Source organism: Homo sapiens, chromosome X, assembly GCF_000001405.40.
Source record: "Homo sapiens chromosome X, GRCh38.p14 Primary Assembly".
NCBI classification, from domain to species: domain Eukaryota; kingdom Metazoa; phylum Chordata; class Mammalia; order Primates; family Hominidae; genus Homo; species Homo sapiens.
This window is the reverse complement of record NC_000023.11, coordinates 34,062,741-34,080,618: the sequence shown is the minus strand read 5'-3', so window position 1 is coordinate 34,080,618 and position 17,878 is coordinate 34,062,741. Positions and strand designations below refer to the sequence as shown.

The 17,878-nt window shown below is 35.2% G+C and overlaps 1 long non-coding RNA gene across 1 annotated transcript in view; it reads right to left on the bottom strand.

Annotated features, from left to right (window-relative positions):
* Nucleotides 1–3,504: 3,504 nt before the first annotated feature.
* The window catches only part of LOC105373153 (uncharacterized), a 350,749-nt gene continuing 336,375 nt past the window's right edge, over nt 3,505–17,878 (bottom strand). Inside the window, exon 3 of the long non-coding RNA XR_950542.4 lies at nt 3,505–4,153. This is a non-coding gene — a long non-coding RNA (uncharacterized LOC105373153). The remainder of the gene's footprint in view (nt 4,154–17,878) is intronic.

Sequence of the window (17,878 nt, the reverse complement as noted above, 5' to 3'; positions counted from 1 at the left end):
TTTCATGGTCTGGGCCGGGGTCCCCGTGCTGTGTGCAACCTAGGGACTTGGTGCCCTGTGTCCCAGCTGCTCCAGCCATGTCTGAAAGGGGCCAACATAGAGCCAACAGAGAGCTTTAGAGAGTGAAAGCCCCAAGCCTTGGCAGCTTCCATGGGGTGTTGAGGCTGTGGGTGCAGAGAAGCCAATAATTGAGGTTTGGGAACCTCCACCTAGATTTCAGAAGATGTATGGAAATGCCTGGATGCCCAGGCCAAAGTTTGCTGCAGGGGCAGGGCCCTCATGGAGAACCTCTGCTAGGGCAGCGTGGAAGAGAAATGTGGGGTCAGAGCCCTGACCAAGAATTCCTACTGGGGCATTGCCTAGTGTAGCTGTGAGAAGAGGGCCACCGTCCTCCAGACACCAGAATGGTAGATCCACCAACAGCTTGCACGTGTGCCTGGAAAAGCTGCAGACACTCAGCACCAGCCAATAGAAAGCAGCTGGGAGGAAGGCTGTAGCCTGCAAAGCCACAGGGGTGGAACTGCCAAGACCATGGGAACCTACCTCTTGCATCAGAATGATCTGGATGTGAGACCTGGAGTCAAAGGAGATCATTTTGGAGCTTTCAAATTTGATTGCCCTGCTAGATTTCGGACTTGCATGATCTTTGTAACCCCTTTGTTTTGGCCAATTTCTCCCATTTGGAACAGCTGTATGTACCCAATACCTGTACCTCTATTGTATCTAGGAGATAACTAGCTTGCTTTTGATTTTACAGGTTCATAGGTGGAAGGGACTTATCTTGTCTCAGATGAGACTTTTGGACTGTGGAGTTTTGGGTTAAAGCTGCAATGAGCTAAGACTTTGGGGGACTGTGGGGAAGTAGTGATTGGTTTTGAAATGTGAGGACATGAGATTTGGAGGGGCCAACTTGAATTCCCAGAATCCCTACCTGCTGTGGGAGGGACCCAGGGGGAGGTAATTGAATCATGGGAGCTGGTCTTTCCCATGCTATTCTCGTGATAGTGAATAAGTCTCACAAGATCTGATGGGTTTATCAGGGGTTTCCACTTTTACTTCTTTCTCATTTTCTCTTGCTGCTGCCATGTAAGAAGTGCCTTTCAACTCCCGCCATGATTTTGAGGTCTCTCCAGCCATGTGGAGCTGTAAAGTCTCTACTAAAAATACAAAAAAATTAGCCGGGCATGGTAGCCGGTGCCTGTGTAGTCCCAGCTACTCAGGAGGCTGAGGCAGGAGAATGGCGTGAACCCAGGAGGCAGAGCTTGCAGTGAGCCGAGATCATGCCACTGCACTCCAGCCTGGGCGACAGAGTGAGACTCCGTCTCAAAAAAAAAAAAAAAAAAAGAAATTATAAATGTTTGGGGTGATGAATATGCTAATTACCCTGGTTTTATTATATCATTGTATATATGCATAAAATACATGCATATTTATATAACCTCATAAATTTAAAGAATAAAATAAATGTGAACAGGAAAAAAATGATGTGGGGACAGTTGGACATGTAAATGAAAAAAAAAGTTAATTTGAACGTGAACCTCACAACCTATGCAAAAATCAATACAAAGTAGACTGCAGACCTACACATAAGAGCTAATACTGTAAACTTTAGGATAAACCATGGTATACATTTCTTTCTGATCTTGAGCTAGGCAATTATTTCTTAGAAATGACACCAAAAGCAGAGCAGTAAAAGAAAAAAAAATAGACTTATTCAAAATTAAATGTTTGCATTTCAAAAAAGTACAATCAAGAAAATAACAAGATGCAATTTTCCCATGTAACAAACCTGCACATGTACCCACTGAACACAAAATAAATGTCGGGAAAGAAAAATAATTAAGTAAATAAATGAAACAAAATCATTTTCTCTGAAAAAATAAAAGAAAAAAGTTTCCATTGTTCTACACAATCACCAAAACAAAAGAAAATGAAAAGACATCTCTCAGAAAGGGAGAAATATTTGTAAATTATATATTCAATAGGGACATACATTGAATATACAAAGAACTCTAACAACTGAATAATAAAAAGATTCATATTTTTAATGGGTGAAGAACTTGAATAAGTATTTCAAAAAAGAGTATATCCAAATGGCCATTAAGGACATGAAAAGATGCTTGATATTATTAGCCACTAAGGAAAAGCAAATCAAGACCACATGAAATACCACTTACTACCCACTGTAATGGCTATAATAAAAAGGACATGATAGCAAGTGTTGGCAAGAGTGTCATGAAAATGTAACCTTCATATGTTGCTGAGGATGGTGTAAAATGGTGCAGTCACATTGGAAAATAGTTTGGCAGTTCCTCAAAAATTTAAACATAGAGTTACCACGTGACCCAGCAATTTCACTCCAAAATATTCATCACAGACAAATTAAAACATATGTTCACACAAAGATTTTTATGTGAGTGTTTAGCGCAGCAATATTCACTGTAGCCAAGAAGTGGAAGTAACTCAAATGTCCATGAGTTGATGAATGATGGTTACACAAAATGCAGTAGATCTATATAACAAAATGACAGTAAAGATAAGTGAAATATTGGTGTATAGTACATAAGTGAACCTCAAAACATTATGCTCGGTGAAATAATGTAGATTCAAAAGAACACATACTGTATAAATCTGTTTATATGAAATATCTTGAATAGTTAAAACTGTAGAGATAGGAAGTAGATTAGGGGCTACCTAAAGCTGGAGCAAGGGAAGAATAAGGATTGACAGTTGTTGGGCAAATCTAATATTAGACTGTTGTAATGGCTGCACAATTCTGTGACTATAGTTAAAATCATTGAAATGCATTAATTTTATGATACATAAATTAAAACTGTTTAAAATAGGTAAAAAATAATACGATGGCAATAACTATTATTAAAATATATTATGTTAGATGATAAGTGGGTAAAAGAAGACAATACAACCATTGGTATATATTATATATACACACAAACATAATGAAATAAGACATCAAAATTTGTAATAATTACAATCTTCATTCCTGCAACTGATCACATGATCATAGCTAAGAGTTATAACTACTTTTTTCTACTATCCAATCCATATTTGCATTGTGCTCAGCAAGCCCCTAAACTGGTAATGGCTCTTTGCCTACTGGGATTCCCTAAATCTTTATTCATGAAGGGTTTGGGTCATTAGTAGTCCTTCCTGATTTGGGTTGTTATTGCTTTCCATTGAGTATAATCAGATGGTATGGTAGTACTAGGAGATATCCTAAGAGATTCTGTATGTCCTGTCTTCCAGACTTACATTTCTTTACCTCAATTGTGTAACTGCAGTCCAACATTCTCTCACTAATCAGGACAAATCAACCCAGCCAGCAAGGTAACTTCATTGCCTGTTGACTCAGAGGCATAAGTGTAATGTAGTAGGGTGACAGTCTTAGCTTCCAGTTCAGCAGAATCATTCTTATGTCTCTTAGTGGAAACATGTCTCCCTTTGAAATTGAGACCTATAGACCAGCAGAACTTAAGGTTTCAGGGACAGGAAGTAACATTTATTGCTAGTGCATCATTAGGGACACTAATAATGAGTGGTGCCACTACCATTTTCCCCCCTTGATTTTGGGGCCTGTGAAATCTGGCCATGAATGAAACACCAACATATATTTAACATTGATTCAGGGCATATACAGACTCCTGGTGAATGCTGCCCCAGTGCTGCAAGGAATTTTGTCTACCTGATCCTGTAGCTGGGTTTTCAAAAGGCCATTCCACCATTCTGTCAAGCCACTTGTTTTGAGATTATGGAAAACACAGTAATACTAGTGAATCCTATGAGTATGTTCCCCATTGCTGCACTTCATTTGCTCTAAAGGGAGATTTTGATCAAAAGCAACGCTTTGAGGAACACCATAGTGATGGATAAGGCATTATCTGTATTCCACAGATAGTAGTTTGGGTATAAGCATTGTGTAGAAATAAAGCAAATCTATATCCAGTGTAAGTATCTGTCTCAATTTGGCCTGCTATAAGAAAAATACTTTAGGATGGGTAATTTATAAAAAACAGAATTTTATCACTCACAATTCTGTAGATTAGGAAGTCCAAGATCAAGAGGCCTGCAGATTGGATGTCTGATGAAGGCCTATTCTTCATTGGTGATGCCTTCTTGTTGTGTCCTCACATGGCTGAAAGGATGAACAAGATACCTTAATCTTCTTTCATAAGGGCACTAATCCATTCGTGAAGGCTCTCTCTCATGACCTAATCAACCCCTAAAAGGGCCCCCTCCTAAATCATTACCTTGGGGGACAGGCTTGAGCCTGTAACTTTTGGGGAGACACAAACATTCAGACCATAGCAACATCTCTTCTAATAAGAAGAAAGTGCCTTCCCTTCCACGATGGAAGTGATCCATTGTAATTAGCCTGCCACAAGGTAGCTAGTGACCAACCCCAGAAAATGGTACCATATCATAGACCCATTGCTGGTACCTACAGTTGGTTTATTGCCTGCTCAGCAGTGGCTATAGCAAGTTTGGCCTTGGTTAGCGGAAATCCTTATTTCTAAGCTCATAGATAACCTCTATTCCTGCCAAACATGGCCACTTTGTTCATGAGGCCATGGGAGAATGACACAGGAGGTGGGATAAAGAGGCTGACTGGGATACACAGAGTAAGTAATCTTGTCCACTTAATTATTAAAAGCCATCTATGCTAAGGTTATCCTTTGGTGAACATTCACATGAAATGGACTTTTTAAAAACATTTTTCACCTGTTCAGAGAGGTCTGGATACATTCCTCTTCCCCAAATTTCTTAGTTCCCAATTTTTCAGTCATGCTCCTGCCAAGTCCCTGACCATCCAATAAAACCCTTGGCTACAGACCATGAATCAGTATGCAGTCACACATCTGGCCATTTCTCCTTCCATGAAACATAAAATGTTCCAAGCAAAATTTCCCCTCACTTTTTTTTTCTTCCCTGTCCTTCGGGAATGTCTTAGAGAGGGGCTGTAGTGCTGCAGCTGTCCACTTTCAGGTGATGCCTACTGTATTATGCAGAGCCATCTGTATACCAGGCTCAATTATTCTCTTCCTTTGTCACCTGATTGTAGAGAATTTACCATTAGGCCAGAGATGGAGATTGAGAGACAGAAGGCAGTGTAGCAAAAGGAAGACCATTAGCATATATGCAATTTCTTCATGTAAGTTACTTGTGCCTTCAGGACCTGCTCAGGCCCAATCTCATATATACCACTTCCATTTGCTTATGGAGTACTGCTGTATACACCCAACTTTACAGCTTGGTAGGTCAGACAACACTCAGTTCATGATGGGCAACTCAGGTCACATGGGAACTTGGTGGCCCATGGCTAGGTGTTCAGCCTCTACTAAGGCCAAAAACTGTTTCTCAGAAGAAAAGTAGCTATCCACAGAGGATGGCAAGGCTTTGCTTCAACTCACAGATGTCTGCAGTATGAGTTACCTATAGGACCTGCCAAAGGCTCTAGACAGCATCTCTACCTGTCACTGAAACTTCAAGCACCACTGGATCTGCTGAATCATATGGTCCAAGTGGCAGAGCAGCTTCCACAGCAGCTTGGAACCTGTTTCCAAACCTTCCCTTTTTCTGGGCTCCACTCAAAACTGCAACTTTTTTCATCATGCAATAAATGGGAGGTGGTAGCACAACCAAATGAAAAATGTGTTGCCCCCAAAATCCAAAGAAGCCCACTAGATGTTGGATCTCATTTTCCGGTGGTAGAACCAGACACAACCACTTAGAAATCTAGGATATATCAAAATTGTCACCACCACTAAGTACCTAGTAATTGAAGTGTAAGACCCATGAATTTTTGTTGGATGTATTTCCCACCATTTGACAAACAAATTCCCTATCAATAAGTCCATAGTAGCTGATAGTTCTTGCTTACTTGGTCCAATTAACATAATGTCATCAATTTAGTGAACCAGTCTGATGATGTCTTGTGGAAGGGAAAGGTAAGCAAGGTGGACTAAACTTTAACATAGATCCAGGGAGTTGATATACCCCTGCGTTAGGAGAGTGATGTATTGTTGGCTTGCCAAATGAAAGGAAACTGCTCTGGTGGGCTTTAGTAGCAAGTTTGGAGAAAAAAAGCATTTTTCAGGTTATTAGCTGTACACTAGATATCAGGTATGCGTTAATTTGCTCAAGCAACCAAACCGTATCTGGAACAGTAGCTGCAATTGGAGTCACCATCTGCCTATGTGTATGATAATCCACTGTCATTTTCCAAGATTCATCTGTTTTCTACATAGGCCAAATAGGTGAATTTAATGGGGTTGTTGTGGGAATCATCTCCCTTGCATCCTTCTAGTCCTGATTGGTGGCACTCATCTCTGCCAACTCTCCAGGAATGTGTTATTCCTTCTGACATACTGTTTTCCTCAGTAGAAGAAGTTCTAGTGGTTTCCACTTGGGCTTTCCTACCATAATACCCCTCACACCACAGTTCAGGAAACTTATATTTGTATTCTACCAGTTGCTGAGTATAACTACTCCAATTCTGTATTCTAGAAGTATGGAAATAACTACAGGATGTGGTTGGGGACCAACTAGACCCAGTGTGAAAAGGACCTGAGCTAAAATTCCATTACCTAACTTCTATGGGTCTTACTCTGATTGGCAGAACACAGTGACATTTTGAGTCTTGTAATTAGGGTCAGTTCAGTGTTCAGTAATCATCAAACATCTTATTATTTCTATTTCCTCTGTGTACAATCTCTCTGGTAAAATGCCATAGGTCCCTTTGGAGAAGGCTAGGAGACATAGTATAGGTTTAAATTTTTGGCAGCTTAGCAGGGTCTTTCCTCAAGGATACCCAGCTTCATCTTTAATCCAGGAGCTAAGCTGATGAGAAACTGAGGTTGACTGTACCAGAAAAATGTGGAATTAAAGAACTTTAAAAATTCTGCTCCTGTTGCTGACACTCATTGCCTTGGGAAAATTTTAACATGTTTCTTTGGCTGAGAAATGGCTCACATCAGTGGGGCCACTAGTGCTGCTGTCTGAGGTATAACATGGGCAATGAAAAAGACCTGCTGAGATAAGAAATTTACGAGCACAGGTAAAGGGGTTCCAGGGATGTTTTTTATCTCACCACTTTCCTAAAAACCAGGGAGTGTGCCTATTTCCAATGTCGATTCCTCTGAAGGCTGTAAAGGTGAATGTAATGACTATGTCTGTTTCCTGGGGGAGTGGTAGCCAAAAAAATTAATCAGAAGTGCCTTGATGGGAATTAAGCTCCTGACTATGATAAAGTATCTTGTGAAAAACCAATGTTACTGCTATAAAATTTAAAGAGCCAGATTAAGGAAAAAAATCTATCCAAACATATATGCCTTTAAAGGCATTCCATCAGATTAAAATTGAACCCCACAGAATTTAAGTAGTCAAATTTCTCAAAAGAAGTGAACTGCAAACAAGTGAGCAAATATTCTATGAGTTGAATTTTCCTAGGAACATTTGCCAATTCTTGGCATGGAGCAAGATGCTGCAAATCTAGTAAAATGCTACTGCTTAGAGGCAGAAAAGCCAACAGAGCTTTTTAGAAAACTCACAAAGCAGAAGGTACAAAAATTGAAGTATGTGGCTGCCAAGACAGACAGGACTTGAAAGACCAACATGAGAAAAAAGGGGCAGAGTGTGAAGTCAAGTTTCACTTGAAGGCATTTGCTAAATTATTAAACTGTTTCAGGGTAAAAAGCAGAAAAACTAAATTGAAAGCTTCTAAAAGACAAGTAGTAAAGGTTTCAACAATCTCTTTATTCTGAGGTGACACAACTGATGTCCAAAACACACCACGGAAAAAAGGATCTTAGTAAATGTCCTAATCTTTCATTTGGAAGTGGGAGGATGAATTTTGAAGAGCAGATAAGAACCAAAAGTAAAATGAACCTATAAGGCTTAGTTGGCTGAGTCCCTATTTGATTTAAGATCAACCGACCCTTAGTTTACCAAGGTATATGGAGTAAACGAACTCTAGAAAAAAATACCATTACTTAGAAACTTAACAGACTCAAAACAATGTCTTGGATTTAACAGAAACTTTACAAGTATAACAAAAGACCAAAAGAAAAATATGATCGACAATAGAAACAAACCAAGAGATGTCGCAGTTATTGACACTATCTTGCCAGTATTCAGACTGAAACACAGAGAGCAAACAGAAGTACAAAAAAAGACAACTACAAAAAAAGAGCATGAGAAACATATGGGGCACAGTGAAAATGACCAGTATAATGCAAATGAGAGCCATGAAGGAGAGAGGAGAGAAAAGTGCAGGGCAATATTGCAAAAGATAATGGCTAAGATTTTTTCCAAAACTGATTAATGATATCAAAACCCAAGTTCAAGAAATTCTACACTCCAAGTAGGGCAAACACAAAGAAAGCCACATCTAGGCATATTATAATAGAACTACTGAAAGTCAAAGTGAAAGAGAACAATCAGAAAAAATAAAAACATTGACTGCAAAGAGAGCTTTTTTTTCAACAAAACAAAAAAATAGAAGGAACAAAAATAATATCAGGAATGAAAAGGGGGTATAAATAAAGATTCTACAGATTTTAAAGATGAAATAAGAACATTTATAGACAACTTTATGTCAATAAAAAGAAAAACTATACTATTTCCTTGTATAAGGAAATAGTCCCAGAAACATAACTTGTTAAGACTGGCACAATAAAAAATACAAAATCAGAACAGCTTCATTCATATCTATTACATAATTTAAAACTGTAAATAAAGACTTTTGTACAAAGAAAACTCTAGGTCAAATGGCTTTGCTGGTTAATTCTCTCAAACATTTATGTAAGAACTAATATCAAACATTATTCATACCCATCCAGGTAATCAAAAGGTGGTAGAGGTGCATATCATCAAATCATTTTATGAGGTCTACATAACCCAAATAACAAACCCTCACAAAGGCACTGAAAGAAAATAAATCAACAGATACATTTCTCGCATGAATACATATGCTAAGTTCTAAATAAATCTCAACAAGTTAAAAATCAATCAATACAATTCACATTAAAAGAGAAATAGAAGGAATATCACATGATTAGCATAATGGATTCAGAAAAAAAAGCATTTAATGGAATTCAATATGAATTAATGATATCCATTCATGATAAAATCTATTGGCAAACGAAGAACAAAACAATTTTTTTTGACAAAACAATTTTTTTATTTTGAAAAAAGTTACTTGGGAAAACTAAAGCATATATCATATGTAATGAAATTAAGCTGAATTGTTTTCCTTGAAGAACAAAAACAAGAAGATATATTTTATATTTATTTCTATTCAGCATAGTTCTGGCAGTCTGATTAGGTATATTTAGAATGAAAATTTTAGCAATTAGAAAGGAAGAAACAAAATACTCATTAACTGAAGATGGCATAATTGTGAATGCATAAAATTCAAAATAGTGTACAAATATTTGAAATTAATTAGTGAACTTAGAAAGTTCACTGACACAATGTCAATATATAGTATTTAATTATATTTCTACATAGCAGCAACAGACAAATGAAAAAGGAATGCTAAAAAGGATATCGAGTGTAGCATAAACCACACCAATATATATTTATAAATTAAAAATAGTATGTGCAATGTCTATAAGACGAAAAATATAAAACACTATTTCAAATAATTGAGGAAGACCTAAGTAAGTGGAGGAATAGTCCAGGTTCAAGAATTAGAAGACGTATTATGGTAAGATGTAATTATCCCTAAATGTTCATCTGTAAATTCAATACCAGTCAAAATTATAGCAACTTGTTAAGTGAATGTGTGCACATATGTGTAAATTAAGAAGTATGTTATATATATGTATATTGACATGTATATATCTCAATGCAAAGGGCAAAAGTAGCTAAGACAATTTTAAAAATAAAAGTAAAGCTGGCACACTAACACTGTCAAATATCAAGATTTATTACACAGCTACAGTGATTAAAACAGTGTGTTATTTATATAAAGATAGAAAAACAGAACAGTGCAATATAATAGAAAATCCAGGAACAGATCTTTTTATATGTGGTTGCTTGAATTTTGACAAAGTTTACATTCTAAAATAGTTGAAAGAAGATGCTAACTTCAAAAGCTGCAATGACCTCTCCCATCATAAACTTGGTGTGCCCATTTCTTACTTTCATTTAAATGGAAGAATATATATGTATTATTTTGTGTCTAGCTTATTTGCCTTTCATTAGCCTTTCTACCTGGAAATTTTATACTCTCCTCTAATTAGACCAAATTGAATTAACAAAAATTAATTTCTCGTTTTTGGCATCTCCCTAGGGAATATTCCTTTATCTGTTTATGAAGCATTTATCTGATATCTTAAGGGGAACATTAACTCAAAAGCAAAACATCCAACATCATTTATATTTATTTTGAAGGAAAATCCAAAGTTAACAGCATACAACATCAATAGCAGAATTATTCCAACTAACAGTTAAGTAATTAAAAATAAACAGATAATGCTAGATTTAGATGATAATATATTAGTAATATACACATAAAAATATTTTTAGAAATTATAAAAATCAGGTAAGAAAATTATAATCATTAAAAGCAATAACCAAATAGATTAGATCACGTGTAGTGTAAAAAAAAACAGATGGAAAATGTAGTACAATGGAAGATCTGAATGAAGAATTTTTCCAAAAGTACCAAGAAATCATGCAAAAATAGAAGCTAGACTAAAAGAGAAAAAGAGGAATTTGAATAGCATTATCAATATTCAGATACTTATAGTCTTCAATAGAGCAGAAAATAATAACAGACAGAAGGATAATTTTTAAGTAATGGTCAAAATAAAACTCTTAGAAATAAAGAAAGATGAAATAACTCATGTCATGGATTGTTAAACAGAAAAGATATAAAATTAAAAATTATTAAAAGTTCAAAACTTTCAGACAGAAAAATACAAAATAAGAATGAGCCTTCTCAACACTATGTGAGATTCTAGCAGACAACAGAACAATATTTTTTTAACTGAAGGAAAATATTTTGTAACCAGAATTTTATATCCAACTAAACTGTCATTCAAATGCGAAAGTCAGGTATTGTAAGAGATGCTTCAGAAAGTTTTCTTAAAAAGACCCCAAATGTGTTGAAAACACCATTTTTTGAAATAATGAAATAGAGTTGTAAACACATTTAGAGGAGTTGCTTAGATAGGAGGATAAATAAATCTCAAAGTTGCAGCAAAAGATGCTAAATATAAGAGTTATACAATACATTGGTAAGGGCTTTGTTTTGTTTTTTTTAAAATCTAACACTGTTGAAAGCATTTATCCTCAACAATGAGGAACTATAATCATGGACAATATCCAAATTATAGGAGTAGACATGATGAAGAATGAAGAAACAGGAAGTTTAGGAAAACATTTGTGATTTTTGTAGGAAAATGTGAATTTTGTGGGTTTAAACTATCCATAGGGCTAATTATACATGAGATTGGTCTTAAGAAAGCAGCAAAGAGAAATACAACGTTTTACTTTCAAACTGGCAATGAAACATCTTACGTCTAGTTGAGATCGAGATATGAAAAAAACAAACAAACCAAAGAATGACACATGCCACTTATCACATTTCATCGGCCAAACAAGGTCCCCTAGTCAAGTCTGATATTAATGGAGAAGGGAAGTATACTCCTCCTACAGCAAAGGGCAGCAAATGCTTTGAACAATAATGCAATACATGATAACCAGTAAAAAACAGAATGAGATATATTATACAATAACAGTTTTGTATATTAAAACTACTTACACATAAAATATAAAGCACGTTTTTCAGGAAAACAAACAAAAGTGTATGTAACACATTATAAGTATTTCCTATGAATGGGAAAGAAGGTTGGAAATGGAAAATAAAAAAATTAAAATGGAGATAAAATTTTAAAACTGAAATTAAATAACATAAATTTCTCCAGAAAAACATTACTAAGGGAACATATTCCAGGAATTTGTTGCTTTGGCTATCAGGTAGATAAAGTCACCATGAAAATAGTTTGTCACTTTTTTCTCTAGAGAGATTATAAAGTATATTAAATAAAGAGGTCTGGGTGCGGTGGCTCATGCCTGTAATTCCAGCACTTTGGGAGGCCAAGGCAAACGAATCACCTGAGGTTGGGAGTTCGAGACCAGACAGACCAACATGGAGAAACCCCATCTCTACTAAAAATACAAAATTAGCCAGGCGTGGTGGCACATGCCTGTAATAGCTACTCGGGAGGCTAAGGCAGGAGAATCCCTTGAACCCAGGAGGTGGAGGTTGCAGTGAGCTGAAATTGCGTCATTGCACTGCAGCCTGGACAACAAGAATGAAACTCTGTCTCAAATAAATAAATAAAGAGAAATAATGCTGCTCCAAGGACAATTTCCCTTCAGAAGTAGAAACTGGAAACTACTAAATAGCTTGAGCTGAAGGAAGAAAGTAGATTATTTGTGGAAGATTTGTGGTCTTAGAAGCGGGCCTCAATAAACATGGGAATGCAGATATCTGAAATTCTAATCTCAATTCTTTGGATATATACCCAGAAGTAGTTTCACTGGATCATATGGTATTTCTATTTTAAAAAATTTCAGGGAATCTCCATACTATTTTTCATAGTGGCTAAACAATTTTACATTCCCACCGACAGTGTACAAGGGTTCCATTTTTTCCACATCTTTGCCAACAGCTATCTTTTTCATATATATAATAGCCAGCCTAAGAGGTCTGAGGTGATATTTCACTGTGATTTTGATTTTCATTTTCCTGATGATTAATGATGTTGAGTGTCTTGTCATATACTTGTTGGCCATTTGTATGTCTTCTTTGAAGAAATATCTGTTCCAGTAATTTGCCCAATAACCAAGATATGGAAACAACCTAAATACCCATCAATAGATAAATCAAATGTGATACATACATACAATGGAATAATATTCAGTCTTAAAAAAGGAATGAAATCCTGCCATATGTGACAATATGAATGGACCTGGAAAACATTATACTGAGTAAAATGAAGCAGTTACAGAAAGACAAGACTGCATGATTCTACTTACATGAGGCATCTAAAATAGTCAAATTCATGGAAACAGAGAGTAGAATGGTGGTTTCCAGGCAGAAATGGGAAGTTGTTCCTCAATGAGTATAAAGTTTCAGTTATACAAGATGAGTAAGTTATAGAGATCTACTGTATGACATTGTGCCTATAGTTAACAATACTCTATTGTACACTTAAAAGTTTTAAAGGAGGATAGATTTCATGTTAAGTGTCCTTACCACAATAATGAAAAAGAGAACAAAGCCTCTACATATAGGAAAGGGGAAATGAATACAGTATATCCTTGGCACAAGAGAAAAGTATTATTATGTTAGAGACGTTTGGTGAGGAGCTAGTATATTTAACCAAGAACAGAGAAATGCTCTAGATTTATAAATAAGTGCAATTACTGAAATTTACTAATAGGAGACAAACTAGAACATAAAACGAACACCCCCATTTTCCTTGATGACTATAAAATGGAATTAAAGAAATTATGAATATACTTGAAGGTAAGACAAGGAAATTCAGTACAAGATGCTTCAGGCATTAATTGAAAGTTTGAAAGTGTTGGAGCAATTTCAGATGATAGTAGTCCATGCTATGAGGAAAATGCTAGGGAAGTAATAACTCTAAGGTTGGTCACAGAGAAGATAAGGTTTATTAAAGTGTTAATGGGCAATATCATAATTAATTAACTCACTATGTGTTTGGAGATTGGAGTAAGAATGGTATAAGACATTGTGGATGCAATTACTCTACTGAGCCAGTTGACTGTTGGAAGACAAATGATCTGTGGGATACCTTTAGCAAACCCAACATTTATGTCTCTGTATTTCTCAGTACGAGAAATCCCACAAAGCAAAGTGTAGAGGAATACTAGAACAGCAAAATAAGCAGAGCGTGGGGGAATGTTGAGGGAATTACCAGGCTTTGAACAAGAAACAACTGGATTTCCCATCTGACACAAAGCAGAAATCTCATCTAGAACTCAGTATTCACAGATTCAAAGAAGTCTAAGGTAGAAAATAGAATCATCATCTACCCTGTCGTCATTGGCACCCTGGAATGCATAAGCCACACCTCTGATCAATTGTGAGTTTTATTGTGAAGTAAATTGAATTAGCAGAAGAAGCAAAAAGTAGGTACATATCTATAGGCAGTAGGATCTTAAGATTTAACTCCTCCTGACCCAGGGTTCTTTGTCTTTGGGTTTAGGCTCTAAGATAAGCCAAAAAAGAATAGCAGATTCTTTTCCTTGCCATTTATTTTGTTTTTCTGGGGAACATTGGAGGAGGAGTGCTGAGTGTGTAACATGGTGTAACGACATCAATAAATCACCAAGATTTTATTTAACAGAAAGCAACGAAGGACACCTTTTTAAGCACTTTTAGACTCTATATAGTTAAATCGTCTATTTCTGTTCTTTTCCAAAATCAAATTTTAAACACATTTGGCCTATCGAATATATTTAACATTGTGGTCAGTTACTGGAATATCAACAAAGGACATATTTTCTTTTTATCCACTCCTGTTGACTTTAAAGATATTGTTTCTCTAGGCACTAACAAATTCGTAACTGTGTATTTTCTTTCCAGTCTGAGTTATAAGAGATTATACTGAACATAAATCAAATTTGTGCTGCACCTTATGTGAGAAATTTCAGCTCTCTCCTCAGTCATGAGGTTAAAAATTACATCTCAAAATAAAGCATTTGGCAAAATTTATCTATCTTTTAGGCCTTTCAATTCAAGGAAAAGTGGCAATAACCAATAAAATATTAACAAATGCAGAATTTGTAATTGTTTTTACCAGCTAGAAGATTAACACCCTGGATCTTTTACTGCAATTTTAAAATGTATTTTATTACATGAATCAAAACTTCCACTATGGGCCAATACAATAAAATAGATTGTGGCAAGATGTGTACTAACTCTGTACTATGTTTCAGGTCAAAAAAGAAAAAAAACTATTGTACCTGTAGTTAACAATACTCTATTGTACACTTAAAAGTTTTTTTAAAAAATATATTTCATGTTAAGCGTCCTTACCACAATAGTGAAAAAGAGAATGAAGCCTCTACAAATAGGAAAGGGAAAATGAATACAGTATATGTTTGGCACAAGAGAAAGGTATTATTATGTTAGAGCAGTTTGGTGAGGATCTAGTACATTTAACCAACAACAAGAGAAATGTTCTAGATGTATAAATAAGAGAAATTACTACAATTTACTAATAGGAAACAAACTAATACATAAAATGAACACCCCCATTTTCCTTGATGACTATAAAATAGAATTAAAGAAATTATGAACATATTTCCAGTTTGAATCTGGAAACCAAGAAGACCAAATAAGTGTATATCCCTCAAAAAGAAAAATACTCTATAAATTGTAAAAACTAGCAAAAGATTTACAAAGAAAACTATTTAGCACAAAGTAGATTCATCATACATTCACCCATGATGATAATACCATTTATTTAAAAACCTTCATGAGTAAGTTTTAAGATCAAGCAGAATCCTAGGCACAAGTCTATAGATACAAGAGAAAGACATGCAAATGAATACGTAATTTAGGTAAGTGCTATAATAGAAACGTATAAAGCACACAAAAATGTAGTAGAAATGGAGAAAACATTACAGTCCATAAAATTGTTTGATTTTGTTATATATAAGAGTTCATAAATTAGTTTACTGTTTTTTTTACAAAATAATATCTACTCATGGGAAACATATTTTCATATTTATAACAAAAATTCAGACAAAAGAGCAATACTGAAACCTTCATGGAAATATCGGTAAAAAAATTAAATGACATCTGTTTCATTGTTTTTAAAAAGTCAGCTGAATGGTCTAAATGTTAATGTGTATAGATATCAGAATAAATAAAATATTAAAATGAATATATAAACACAGAAATATAGAAAAATAACTGCAAATGATTGAATAGTACTAGGATTGTCTGTGCAACTGTAATTTTAAGCATGAACAAATGAAACCTCCCAGAATCAATGGTCTGATGCCATAATTATATTATGTATTAACAATGTTTCTGTACTGAAACCTGAAAACATATTAGAATTGTTTTATTGAAGGTAAGCAGTTATATTCTGCTTACACATATCCTCCTGTCTTTATATCAAGAAGTAAAATGTACAAAATACTGTCTTATTTTGGGGGTAAAAAAATAAGTTTAGAGGAAAATAACAGTATCTGAGTATATTAACTCATCAGATTTAGCCAGCCATCTTCTATGCATCACAGCAAGGACTCTAGAGGATTATAAATGTGTGCCTCTGGATAATGAAGACACTAATTAAAGATCTACAGGTTGTAACTCTATGTGCTCTTTTGTTCAATTTGTCATGTGAATTAAACGGTGTAGTCAAGGAGTGATGAGGGAAAATCACTTCAAATCAGCCTAGACAGCTCTATAAAATTCCTAACAGTGTCAAATTGTACAATTTTGTGTAATATGAGAAAGAAATTTCAAAATGGGAAATAAAATTGCTGATGCATCTTCATGAAGTTTACATTCCATTAAAAATTGGGAAGGAATATTGTTTCAAATGAATAAAACATCATTACAAACAGAAACTAGATTTACCCAATAGGAAACCCAAAAGAAAGGAACAAAACATAATGTGGTAATCGTACATTTTCAACTAATTACTTGGATCCTTTTATAAGATTTTCACAGCAGTCAAGGCAGTGGTATACAGAAAAATATTGCTCAACACTGAATTCATTAATTGACTCAGCAACAAATATTTATTTTTTAAGCCACAAATATGTGCCAGGGGCAATTAAAATAGAGGGTTACAGCAATGAAAAAATCAAGCACAAATTCATGAGGAGCTTGCATTTCTGTGAAGACAACATAGCAAATAAAACATGTAAGTAAAATATAGAATGTGCTACAGTGAACAAGAAAACAAGAAGAAATAGAAGAGGTATTAAATTTAGAATAGGGTGATCAGAGAAACCTTCTGGAGGTGATATTTCAGCAAAATCCGAAGGAAATGAGGAAACAAACCGTTTTATAACTAAGCAGAGCGAGTTCATGACAGAGAACACTAAAAGTATAGAAGCCTGGGGGTTAGAACATCCTGGTTTGACAGAATTCAGCAAGGAAACCAGTGTGGCTGGAAAAAAGGTATGTAAGGGAGAGAGTGATACAAAATGAGGTAAAAGACATATAGGCTGTAAACTGTGAAAGCCGTGTAAAATCCTTGTAAGGCCTTAGTCTTTTATTCTGAGTGAGATTAAAGCTACGAGTAGGCTTTTAAGCAGAGATTTCACTTGCTTTTAAGGTTTCAACAGGATAACTCCGTACTGAGAGTAAATTGTAGAAGAAGTAAAAGTAACTACTTAAATTACTTTTCCTCAATTTTTATGTGGTGTTATACAATATAAATATCATATAATATAGAATCTAGAATCCTTCTATCTGGTTACATAAAATTTGAATGTTAGATGAAATAGAACAGATCATCTTCTTAGGGTGTTCCATGCAATTTGAATAACAATGTAACTGGCTGTAGGCAACTGGTTGCTGGTACAAACTGATTTAAAAATATGGAAAATATATATCATCATAGATACTGGTTATATGATTTGAACATAAACACATATATACATACTCTTTGGAGGCAATATACATGGTCCAGAATGATGGTGGCTCAGTCCAGGAATGGCAACAGGATTTACTGACAGGCTGTAAACAGTCATAAGTAGGAGTCAAGGATGACTCCAAGATTTTAAGGCTAAATAACTTAATGTGAAGTTGCTATTAACGGATATGGAAGGACTGTGAAAGAATCAG